Source organism: Homo sapiens, chromosome 12 (assembly GCF_000001405.40).
Source record: "Homo sapiens chromosome 12, GRCh38.p14 Primary Assembly".
Classification (NCBI taxonomy): domain Eukaryota; kingdom Metazoa; phylum Chordata; class Mammalia; order Primates; family Hominidae; genus Homo; species Homo sapiens.
Genome location: NC_000012.12, coordinates 101670608 through 101683559, shown reverse-complemented (window position 1 = coordinate 101683559; position 12952 = coordinate 101670608). Strand labels below are relative to the sequence as shown.

The window sequence follows — 12952 nt, the reverse complement described above, 5'->3', positions numbered from 1 at the left end:
AAATAATTTGAGTCCCCATGAAAATGTCCAAAATCTTCAACAGATAGATGGGTTACAGATATTCTACTTGTGAATTTGTAATGGGAATATTTTAAATATGTAAGTTTCCCAATTTATTTTTTTTATTTTTTATTTTTTTGAGACAAAGTCTCACTTTGTCACCTAAGCTGGAGATCTTGGCTCACTGAAGCCTCCTCGACCTTCCAGATTCAAGTGATCCTCCTGCCTCAGCTCTCCAAGTAGCTAGGACTATAGGCATGTGCCACCACACCTGGCTAAGTTTTGTACTTTTTGTAGAGATGGGAGTTTGCCATGTTGCCCAATCTGATCTTGGACTCCTGGGATCAAGCGATCCACCTACCTCAGCCTCCCAAAGTGCTGGGATTATAGGCGAGAACCATCACGCCCAGCCTCTAAATATTGGATCTATTTTTGTATCCTCTTTCCATAAAAAATGCTCAGAACATCAAAAAAAATGTTTGAAATGTTCAGTTCTCTGAATTGCATCATGAATGTAAGGAAACTATGCTGTCAACTATCTTTAAAAAAGTCTCTCTACATTTAAAAAATGAAAATATTAAAGAAATATTGATACCCAAGTTTTGATAGTCTTATTATATAAAACGAGATCATCTTCAAATGTAGCTTTCTGGCTTTATTCATGGAGACTTGTGGTATGGTATGTAGCTTTCTGACAAAACTTAGTTTCTACATTACTTAATATCCTTGAATAATTTGGCCTTCCTTGTTCATGGCATAAGCACTGTATGCCATGAGCTGCTAAGGGGTACAATTAAAAGCAAATGAGAAAGTCAAGCTTTACATGCAAGGTGCATTTTCATGTAAGAGGAATGGAACGGAAAGTAGAATATCCAGTGGGATATAAACTTTTTAAACCTGTTGCTGCCCCTCCAGGAAGACTGGTTGTCCAGGGGTATTTACTCCTTGATATATCACTGCAGAATCAGAATATTTGTACCAGTATTTATTTATTCTCAGTTGACATTCTTACCTTTTTTCACAACTCAACTTGATTCAAGTTACCTATTATCAGAGTAACAGTCTGATGATAAACAATTTCAGCTTTACTTTTAGGACCAAAAGCTTTTATCAATATATCACAATTGATACTTTATTACGAACTTATGTACTAGAATACATTATTCTTTTTATCAAATTTAATTACTGTACCATTTACTACATTTTCACTAAAAAGAATATATCATGTATATGTATAATACTATTCGCTTTTAAGGAGGGCCCCAAATATTGTTCCATTTGTTAAAGCATCATTTTATATCATTAACAACATTCAGCTAGTTTCAAAGCATAAATAAGTGGTACTTTTTTTTTTAGTTTTTGTTTTTTGGGGGGATATTGAAACAAAAGCATCAACAATACTTTGGAACTAATAAGGCTAGCAGTTTAGAAACCAGATGACTTGCAATTATGAACTTAATCATTTAAAGCCAATAAAGCAGCTAAAAATGTTTAAATTTGTAAGGGTTATCTCAATAGTAAGGCTTGAAATTTTCTAAGAATATTATATGCCTTATATTTGTGAGGAAAAAAAAATCAAATCTTTTTCCTTTCACTCAATTATGAATTGTGAAAGAAAGAATACAGCTTTAAAAAGTTGTAAGAGGAAAGCAGCTGGGTGCAGTGGCTCACGCCTATAATCCCAGCACTTTGAGAGGCCAAGGCAGATGGATTGCTTGAGGCCAGGAGTTTGAGACCAGCCTGGCCAACACGGCAAAAACCCGTCTTTACTGAAGATACAAAAATAAGCTGGGTGTGGTGCTGCATGCCTGTAATCCCAGCTACTCAAGAGGCTGAGGCACGAGAATTGCTTGAACCCAGGAGGCAGAGGTCGCAGTGAGCTGAGATCGCACCCTTCCACTCCAGCCTGGGTGACAGAGCAAGACCTTGTCTCAAAAAAAAAAAAAAAAAAAAAAAAAAAAAAAAAATATATATATATATATATATATATATATATATATATATGAAAGTTATTTTGTTCAAGAAGTTTCCCTCTCATATTTATACTAGATTTAGGACTAAAAGACTCTTTTTAAAAAACATAAATACCCAAGCATTTACTATGATTTTCTAAAATAGATATTTACTAGTTTTTGATTATAATTTCTTCATTATAGAGAGGTTGGAAAAAGAAAGATTTTGGTTATTACAGAATGGCAATATAATACAGTTAAGAATGAGAGAAAACACATTAGGATCATGTCACCTATTATCTCATAATGGTGACTCTTTGAAGGGGTTTTCATGGTGTCCCAAAGTAGGTTCTGCTTGTAAAGAAAAATATCAGCATAAAAATGGTAGTTGATTAATTTGAAAATTGATTAAGATGGCAGGTTATGCTTTTCAACCGCATAAATCCTTATGTGTTTTCTTGGTTTACATTAGTTGCTACACTTTGAAAACTAGTATAAATGAAATGTATACCTATAAATGGAAGTTCTCCAGTTAGAGATTTGAAAAGCAGCCTGTTATAATATGTATATGCTATATTCTATATGTGTAATATCAAACACTTAATTAGCAAAACTATTTCTATAAATATCAGAAAATAACAAACTTTACAAAATAGTAAACTAATTAAAAATAGTGCAGATTACTCAACTGTCATTTCAATAGATGGATTTTTACACTAGGCTTCTATTTATAGATGGGTTATGTCACCAAAGTGATAGCCCCTTTCATTCTTACCATGCTGTACACACACTAACATTCCACTGAAATTAACAGTCCCTTAGCACAAATCACATAAGATAAAAATAAGTTGACTTAAATAACAAGTAGCCTTCCACAAATAAAGTGAAGTGAATGCAGGATGTAAAAATGTCTTCTCTCCCTTAATTCCCTCCCTGCTTCCCTTGCCCTCACCACCCTCTCCCACCCTCGCTGCAGCATTTTGGCAAGCAATTTGGATTAAGAACAATAAGCATTAAGAACAATAATTCAATGATTTTCTTTAACTTTAGTCTATACGTGAGATATTGGATGTCATACCTTTCACCTCCAGTTTGCATTCAATCTCCACTGTCCCAAGGTCATTGACTGCTTTGCAGCAGTAAGTGCCTCCATCATAGGGGCTGGGCTTGCGAATTTCCAGGGTACAGACTCCCTGGTTGCTGAACATCCTGTATCTTGGATCATCCACAATAGCAACTTTGTTTTTCATCCAGGTTATTTTAGGCTGAAGTTCAAATTGAAGAAACTTAGGTCAAAACATATCTGTAATTGGCATATTAATAGACCATCAAAGCCAGTGACAGAATTTTAAAGCATGGCTTAAAAAGAAAGTGCATCTGAGAAGGATAGACTTTTACTTGACACTATTTCTCACATTAAACTCTACTTAGTGCTTGGCAAATAAGCAAACTAACAGTTCTAACAAAGAAAGCCAGATGTGTTCAGAGGTAACTCTAGGGCAATCTTCTCAAATGGATTCAGTTGCATTTCAATTTGATCTACATGGGTGCAAACTTTCAGTTACAGGATGAACAAGTTCTGGGCATCGAATGTACAGCATCGGTACTGATGAATGTATTAATTTGATTGTGATAATCATTACACAATGTGTACATATATCAAATCATCATATTGTTCAGCTTGAATGTATATGACCTTTATTTGCCAATTAAATACTTTCAAATTAAAAAACAATGTCATCCATAGGTCCATGTTGTTAACTCATTGTAGAGAGTGCATATTTGCTGAGCATTTTTTTCAGAGAAACCCCATAAAGTGTCACGATCATTTGATTTTCTTCACTTCCTTTTCCTGATACTGTTTTTTAATTCTTTATGAACTGCATCTGCCTCCTCATTACTTAATCTGTCCTCTGATGTCTATATTCATCATCCCATGGCAATGGATCTACTCCAATCAGATAATGCAAGATCAGTAATGACCCAATTGCCCAGGAAGATGACTTCATTCTCCTTGACTTCTGAACTGCATTTGATATCAGTGACTCCTCACTCTCATATTGTCTTCTCCTTTCTTTTGTAAATATGCACCCTCTGCATTCTCTCTTCCACCTCTTCTATTATTTTGTCTTGCTCAGAACCTAGAGATGGCACCTTTTCTGTCTCCTTCACACAGTCTTCTTCTTCCTTCCACCCGTCAAATGGGAGCGATCACTGAGCCTCACACCTTTCTAAAGCTTTGGCAAGGGGTAGAATGTAGCATCTTTATGTATGGGACTCCCAAACCAAGAGCAACAGCCCTGGCCTTTCTCCTAGGCTCCGGGTGAACCTCTCCATCTGCTTCCTCATCATTCCCATTTGGATGTACCAACATCATTTCCAAGTAAACATTAGTTCAGCACCTTTCTCTCATCCTTAGTCTGACTTCTTCCTTTGATTTTCCTTTTTTTTTTTTTTTTGAGACGGAGTCTTCTTCTGTTACCCAGACTAGAGTGCAGTGGTGCTATCTCAGCTCACTGCAACCTCCACCTCCCAGGTTCATGCAATTCTCCTGCCTCAGCCTCCCAAGTAGCTGGGATCACAGGCATGTGCCACCATGCCCAGCTAATTTTTCTATTTTTAGTAGAGACCATGTTGCCCAGGCTGGTCTCGAACTCCTGACCAAGTGATCCGCCTGCCTCAGCCTCCAAAGTGTTCGGATTACAGGCATGAGCCACTGCGCCCGGACGACTTCCCTATTTCTGATCAAGGTATATACAGGAAAAAAAGAAGTTCATAAATTTTCCCAATTCTAGGGTACTTTCTGTCTTGCACCCAGGGATATGTACATCTCTATGGGCGATATTCATTAATTCGTTGTTCTTTTCAAATGCAAACATGAAACCTTGAAACCTTTCTAATCTCTTCAACTGGATATGATAGCTCCCTTCTTAGCACACTGTACCCTTATCAAAGCACATTCATATTCTGTCTTACAGTGTAGTGTAATTGTTGTTTACTTTAACCTATCGCAGACAGTGTAGTGTGATTGTTGTTTACTTTAACCTATCACAGAATTCTTGACATTACCACCTAATTTTCCAAGTGAAACAATATTATTATACTTCCATCTCCTTACACAGGAGATGTTCTTTTTTAAATAGGTGGTTTGCTTTTTCTTTAGAAGGAATCCCTTAGCAAAGAAATGTAAGCATTTTTTACTACTACATCTGAATAGTGTGCCTAATAATCTACCACCACTACCACCTTCTAATCCCCCATCCTGGGAAGACACAAGTAGCAGCTGGATTTGTTTACATTGTTACTTACATTATAACACAACAAATACAAGACAGGGACTTTAACTGATGTGATAGAAGAACATGGTACCTTAGGATTTCCTCTCACACTGCAGTTTAGGGTGGCATTGTAACCAGCTATGGCATAGGTGTTAACCAAAGGCTGAGTAAACATGGGTGCCTCTGAGAAATCAAAGTCTTCATACACTGGATTTTTGTAGATTTTACCTTAAAAACAAGCATTACAAATATGTTAAAATTATGTAAATTGGCCTGAGAATATATTATTGGTGGCATACTTTACACATGATTAAAACTTCCCTGAACTTAGAAAAACATGGACAAAGATGAGCAAATGCCATGTGGCAAACATTCTGAGGGGTATAAACGTATAGCCAATCACACGTGGGATAGAAAGCCAGAGGGGTCATCTGAAACTGAACCAGATATTGAGAAGACTTTGGTGTCTTTCTGAGTATTTTGAATAGAAATTTGTTCTAATGTGAAAATACACAAGGAAGGTTTTAAGAAGAGTGGTTTATGATGAAAAGAAAAGATAAGGATAGAATTTAGTTTCTCCTTTTATCACAGAGTGGGTCCCATGTGTAGCTACAATAAAGGTGTCCAAGAATAAAAGTAGAAACTCTAGAAGAAAATGTCTACTTCTTCCAGCCTCTGGGGTATTAGCCATTTATAGATCCACTGCCTAGAACCTGGAATTAATTAAAGCCTATATTTGTAAAAAATGCAATAATAATACAATTTCACTTAAATTTTACCTGTAAAATTAAAATTTTACTTGAACACCATTATCATAATTTTACAATGTACATTTACCATTTTTTTGTTCCCTTTCACCACATCTCTTTTTCCAGTCTTCTCTGTCTGGTCACTGTCAACCAAGGTTTTCAAATGTCAGTCCATTCCCAACTCACCATCCCTGGCGATCACTGCACTCTCTTTAGTCATGGTGGCATCCTCACTGAGGCCACACATGTTTTCAGAAAAGACCCGGAAGTAATATTCATTCCCTATGACCAATTCAGTAATGGTGGCACTGGTTCGATGATAATGCTCAATGACAGTAAACCATTCCTAAAAGAAAAAAAAATAATAACTGGAGGAAAATCACCTAAAAGTATACAATTTTTCTAACTGTAGATTGGGATAAATAACAAGGATGCTTTATTAACAAAAAGAAAAAAAGACCACTCATTTTTATATGGAGAGTAATAATATATGTTGTTAAAATGTGTTGAAACAATGTATATTTTGTTTAATATTTCACAACTTATTTGCAATTGACTATGTAATTTAATCTTCATTTACACATTAGATTCATATACCCTAGTTGCCATCTACTATCTTTATATTTTTTCATAACCTTTAGGTGTCTGTCATCTATTTATCTACCTGTCTACCTACCTATTTGTCTTCCTAGCTATCTTTTGTAGAATAAAGTATAACTACAGAATTTTAGTGCCAACTTATTATGAGAAAGACCTGAAGCTAAATCACTAGAGAAACATTAGTAATATCCAGTACATTTATTTAACATTATTATTTTTTTTTTCTTTTTGAGACAGGATCTCACTCTGTCACCCAGGCTGGAGTGCAGTGATGCAATCTTGGCTTACTATAGTCTTGACCTCCCGGGCTCAATAGACCCTTTCACCTCAGCCTCCCGAGTAACTGGGACTACAGGCACGTGCTACCACACCCAGCTAATTTATTTTTTAGAGAGAGGAGGTCTCCCTATGTTGTCCAGGCTGGTCTCAAACTCCTGGGCTCAAGCAATCCTCCTGCCTCAGCCTTCCAAAGTGCTGGGACTACAGGTATGAGCCACTGCTCCCAGCTGATATTATTAACTTTGGTTCTGTTTTTTCTTTTTGAGATGGAGTCTTGTTCTGTCATCCTGGCTACAGTACAGTGGCACAATCTCAGCTCACTACAACCTCCACCTTCCGAGTTCAAGCAATTCTCCTGCCTCAGCCTCCCAAGTAGCTGGGATTTCAGGCGTGAGAAAATCTGGTGATCTTTAGCAAGTCATTTATCCTCTGCAAGCCTCAGTTTCCTCATCTATAAAATAAGTTTATAATAAGTCATACTCCAACTAGGTTGCTTTTTAAACACATTAAGCCAGGGGTTTTCAATCTTTTGGCTTCCCTGGAAAAAGAATTGTCTTGGGCCACACATAAAATAGACTAACGCTAACGATAGCTGATGAGCTGAAAAAAAATCATAAAAAAACTCATAACGTTTTAAGAAAGTTTACAAATATGTGTTGGGCTGCATTCAAAGCCATCCTGGGTTGCATGAGGCCTGTGGGCCACGGGTTGGACAAGTTTGCATTAAGCTCTTTTTCTCCAGACCTTTCCGCATTTGCACATGCTGTAACCTTGTAGAATCTTTCTGTTCTAACTGGTGTCTGTCTTTTTACTTTTTTGTAGACATAAGTGCACAGTATCCAACATTTATTTCACAAGGAGAAAGAGTTGCATGGGTGTAAATCTGAGTCAAAGTCTTGAGCAAATATTTGTTGAATGAATGAGTTTATTGAATTCTACTGAACATTGAACCAGTTGCTTTATATCATTTTAGCTTTGTAATAATCAAGCAAGGGATATTTGTGCCCCCATTACATAGATGAGGAAAATAGAGATCAAAGAGCTCAAGTGATTGTGGTCACGTGTGGTCCTTATACATGTGGTCTTAAGTAGCAATGCTGGGGTTTAAGACCAGCTCTGTGGCTCCACAGGTCTTTTCCTTTCTGCTCTGCCACATCACTTCTCCATAGCCCCAGTTGGCTCCTTACCAGTGAGGCCCTTGTGCCATCTCCTTTACCTCTGATGAAATGTGCCTTTTGCTACTGATGAACCAGAGAAAGCCAGACCTTACCATGCTCTTCTTGTCAGCCTTCTGAATGGTATAGCCTGTGATAGCAGCATTTCCATCATCCTTTGGTGGAGTCCATGTGAGAGCGACATTTTCTCCCCAGACATCCTCAATCTTCACAATTTGGGGTGGACCTGGACGGTCTACAGGATGAATTCATGGTGTCACTGCAAGGTCACTTTCTTTCCCAGTCTACATTTTGTTTCATGAGGATATTTTAAAAGACCCTTTCCTCTGTTACAGGAGGCATCACTCTTCTAGACCCTACCATGGGGGCTTCTGAGACCCTTTGCCTTCCAGTAGTATGGAGCCAGGCCAGATCAAAGGGCACAGAGCAGCCTCAACACTCCCTGCAACTTAACAAAACTCAAAACGGATTAGCCAGTGGGGAAAGAGTGCTTAGTTTAAAGGGAATGACCCTTTAAGGGAGGCTGTTACAGGAAGTTGCCCCTTTGGTTAGAGCAACTTTCAGCAAATTTACTGAAATACAATGATAACAATGATTGGAAACAACGTTTTTCTAGCTCTGCTCTTAAATTTCTTTCTTTCCTTTTTTTTTTTTTTTTTTTTTTGGAGACAGAGTCATGGTCTGTCACCCAGGCTGAGTGCAGTGGTGAAATCTTGGCTCACAGCAGTCTCCTCCTCCCAGGTTCAAGCGATTTTCATGCCTCAGCCTCCCAAGTAGCTGGGACCACAAGTGTGTGCCACAATGTCTGGCTAATTTTTGCATTTTTAGTACAGACAGGTTTTTACCATATTGTCCAGGCTTGTCTCAAACTCCTGGCCCCAAGTGATCTGCCCACCTCCCAAAGTGCTGGTATTACAGGTGTGAGCCACCACACCCGGCCTTAAATTTATTTCTTGACGTTGCAAAAATTACAGTATAATTTAAGTGAGAGGAGTCTATCCACAAGGGGTCCTTCCTCTATTCCCCTGACTCTGGACAGAAGTAAGAACTAACCTTATTTATTTTTTGGGCAGGTACGTATCTAACTACTCTGGCAGGATCAAAGAATTCAGTATTTAACTGTTCAATTTTGCTTAGGTACATCTTCCTTATATTAATATTAAAAAAAATTCTTCATTCTCCATGAAAACTTCATTAGCAAATTTTAGGTGTAGTAAGAAACATGTTAAACTATAGCTAGAATCTATACTGTCTAGAATGTAAGAATTCAACATAAGAAATAATTTTATCATCAGGGAGATGAGAAACTAAGAGAAAGAGACAGCTGGGTTATAGAATAGTGCAGAAGGATTTCACTAAAAAGCACATCCATTAATTTTCTTGAACATATATGCCTTAAATCTCCTGTGATTAGTCCTTTGAGTTGGTGAGAATTCATTTTGAAATGGTAACAAATCTTACTGTCCTTTTTTTGGAGACAGAGTCTCACTCTGTCACCCAGGCTAGAGTGCAGTGGCATGATCTCAGCTCACTGCAACTTCCACCTCCCAGGTTCAAGCGATTCTCCTGCCTCAGTTTCCTGAGTAGCTGGGATTACAGGTGCACGCCACCATGCCCAGCTACTTTTTGTATTTTTAGTAGAGACGGGGCTTCACAATGTTGGCCAGGCTGGTCTTGAACTCCTGACCCCAAGTGATCCGCCTACGTTGGCCTCCCAAAGTACTGGGATTACAGGTGTAAGCTACCACGCCCAGCCTAATTTATCTATTTTTAAAAAATAAATCTAAAAAAAGAGTTTTATGTAGAGCCAGCCTAACAAAACTCCTGCTCTTGCCTTAGGGACAAGGACAATTCATCCCTGTACTGCTTTGACAGAACTTTCTGGCTCCTTCATCTAAACCTACCAATGATCTGGATGTCAATTGATGCGGTCTCCACGAATTTGTCCACTTTGACTTGCAGATCATATTTCCCAGAGTGGCTCCTCTCTGCTTTTCTAATAAATATGATTGTATCAGTCTCAGAGTTGCGAATGTTTATTTGATTCTTATCAATTTCTGCACCATCCTTCTTCCAAGTTAATTCTGGTCTTGGTTTTCCCTAAAAAGAAAGACAGCAAAAGTAGAGAGGGTAAATCATATTGTCTCAAGATGTTTCTTCAGCATTATGAGAAGGACAGTGGCTTAACCCATTCTAGGCAGGGCTGGAAAATACCACCCTTCTAGTCTGGTGGTGAGCAATTACAGCAGCAAAGCTGTAATCTGTATTTTATGTGCAAGGCACTACCTTAGGTACATAACATTGATTATTTTCCTTAATCTTCACATCAAGCTTATCATTATCCTCATTTTTTGGATAGAGAAGTTAAATAATTTGTCCAAGGTCCTGCAGTTAGGTAAGCACTGGAACCAGGTCTCCCAGCTGGGTCTCCTAGTCTCCAAAAGCCTGCACAACACAGGATAATTGTTAAGAGCATGGGCTCTGGGGCCCTGGAATCTATGTCTAGCTCCTGACCACTTAACGTCTGTGTGACCCTGGGCAAGTTACTAAGCTTTCTGTGCCTCAACGGGAATAATGGTAGTACCTATCTCAAAGAGTGGTTATAAAGATTAAAGTGCTGAGAAAGCTTCTGCCCAATACATAAGTTTTTGTAGTTAATATCATCTAAATTTTTTTTTTTGACAGAGTTTGGCTCTTGTCGCCCAGGCTGGAGTGCAGTGGCACAATCTTGGCTCACTGCAACCTCCACCTCCTGGGTTCAAGGGATTCTCCTGCTCACCCTCCCAAGTACTTGGGTTTACAGGCACGCACCACCATGCTTGGCTAATTTTTTTAGTTGTTAGTAGAAACAGGGTTTCACCAAGTTGGCCAGGCTGGTCTTGAACTCCTGACCTCATGTGATTCACACGCCTCAGCCTTCCAAAGTGCTGGGATTATGGGTGTGAGCCACCGTGCCCGGCCAATATCATCTAAATGTTAATGATTACTATTCTACTGTCCTGTGCTGCTCATTTTAGACTTGTCTAGAATTCTCTCTCTGTTCCCTCTCGCTGTTGAAACTATTCTTTAAGAGCAGAATTTAAGAAATCATAATCCCATTCATGAACCTGAGTTTCCATTTCTATTACAAAGGAATTTCCTAGAATCCCCAAGCATCCAGGCGTACCCTGGCAGACAGGAACCAAGCATGAATTCTGTCAGGTAAGGCACAGCTTTCCTGTGGGCTCTGAACATGGCTAGGTTATAATAAGAGATGTAGAGCTACACACCAAACCCCTGCTTCAGAGCCTGAAGAGTGGTTGGGGATGCTCAGACTCACACATGGGAAGCAGAGAACGACGTTGTTGAAGATAGGGAAAAACAGTTCAAGCTTATTTCCTTAAATGTACAACTTGCTGTTAGCCACTAGGGAAAAATGTGGGTTCTCTAATAATATACAGAGTGGAAAAAACCACTGAATTAAGTGACCGGGCCATGGACTCTGTTCTTGGCCCTACCATTGACTTTCTGTGTGACATTGGGCAAGTCACTTAACTTCCCTTTCAGTTTCTTCCCTTCTCAAGCAAGGTAAGGAAATCTGGCCTTCCTGCCTCACAGGGTGTTTCTGAGGATCAAATGAGAAAATGTTTGCGAACTCTAGAGATTACACAAATATACAAACATCACACTTTGGTCTCATCTCCCTTCCTGGGGGCTGAACAGTCTCTGGGATGCCAGATCTATGCGGTCCCTGTTCTCATGATTTTTTCTCTCTCAGACTCAGTGACAGAAGCTGAACACGCAGACCCCCAGATCTGGGAACTGGGATTAGTTGTGGTGGCAGGAACGATGTGGAGGCTTGAGGGCTGACTCAGCAGCCCCAGTGCAGGGTTGGGGCTGGGTCCCCAATACCTGCCTTGTTGCCACTTCTGGTTTTATTTGATGCTGCAAGAGAAGGAAAGTGAGAAGAACCTTGCCAAGCCACCCACTTCCTCCTGGGCTGTGTTCTGCTTCACTTCCTCCTTGGCTTTCATTCTGATTTCATGCCGGGGGTATGTAGTACACAATGTCTCTCCTTAGGTTTGCACCCGGAGTGCAATGAGGATGGCCTGAATTGGCCATCCCTTTAGTTTGGTTTCATGGGAGCCTGGGTTTGAACAGAGTTCTCTCTGTGTGTGCATGTGTGCATGTGTGAGTGTGTGTGTGTGAGTGTGTGTGTGTGTGTGTGTGTGTGTGTATATGAGTGTCAAATGTGTGTAGAGACCTACATTCTAAGGCCAGGCTGGCTGATACGATAGCCACAAGGTACACGTGGCTATTTAAATTAAAATTAATTAAAATTGAAGAAAATTAAAAATTTATTTCTCCAGTCACACTAGTTCCTAGTTACACGTTTCAAGTGCTCAACAGCCACATGTGGCTAGTGGCTACCATATTGGACAGCATTGATATAGAACATTTCTAACATTGAAGAAAGTTCTATTGAACAGCACTGTCTGGAGGTGTCATATGAATAGGGAGTTGGAGAGTAAGGGTTGGGAGGTGCAGGGTGTGTGTGTGTATTTGTATAAGACCAAAATTGACTATTGTAAGTAAAGACTAGTGAATTTTGTGAAGAACAGATTCTTTTGCTGGAACAATGATTTAATATTGTTCATATATTTCAGTTAGTGTCATCGTTATTTCAAATTTCAGTTGTCCCCCTTATTGAAATTATTTTGGTTTGGGGTCATTGTGGGAACTAAGCACACACTGTTTTCCTGAATGTTACACTGAGAGCTTCACTTAAAATGATGGGTTTTACAAACGTATAGGACCAAAAGAGTCTTCAAGCATTTCTTCATTTGGTATCTCCTTGATGTTTCTTCCCTGCCCACCATAGTCGCTGAGCTTCAGGCAAGACTATATCTCATTTGTCTCATGCAGAAAGAAAATCTGTG

At 39.1% G+C, this 12952-nt stretch overlaps 1 protein-coding gene across 31 annotated transcripts in view; it reads right to left on the bottom strand.

Annotated features, from left to right (window-relative positions):
• The window catches only part of MYBPC1 (myosin binding protein C1), a 100871-nt gene that overhangs the window by 12282 nt on the left and 75637 nt on the right, over positions 1-12952 (bottom strand). For 21 of the 31 annotated variants that reach the window (XM_017019316.2, XM_006719410.5, XM_006719405.5 and 18 more), the window contains 5 exons: positions 9938-10133; positions 8129-8268; positions 6166-6325; positions 5322-5458; positions 3031-3217 (listed from right to left, as the gene is read on the bottom strand). In XM_017019316.2, coding sequence (XP_016874805.1) covers positions 3031-3217; positions 5322-5458; positions 6166-6325; positions 8129-8268; positions 9938-10133 — 820 coding nt within the window. Of the gene's footprint in view, positions 1-897; positions 957-3030; positions 3218-5321; positions 5459-6165; positions 6326-8128; positions 8269-9937; positions 10134-12952 lie in introns of all 31 variants that reach the window. The other 10 variants (XM_006719406.5, NM_002465.4, XM_017019318.3 and 7 more) reach the window with 1 other exon arrangement.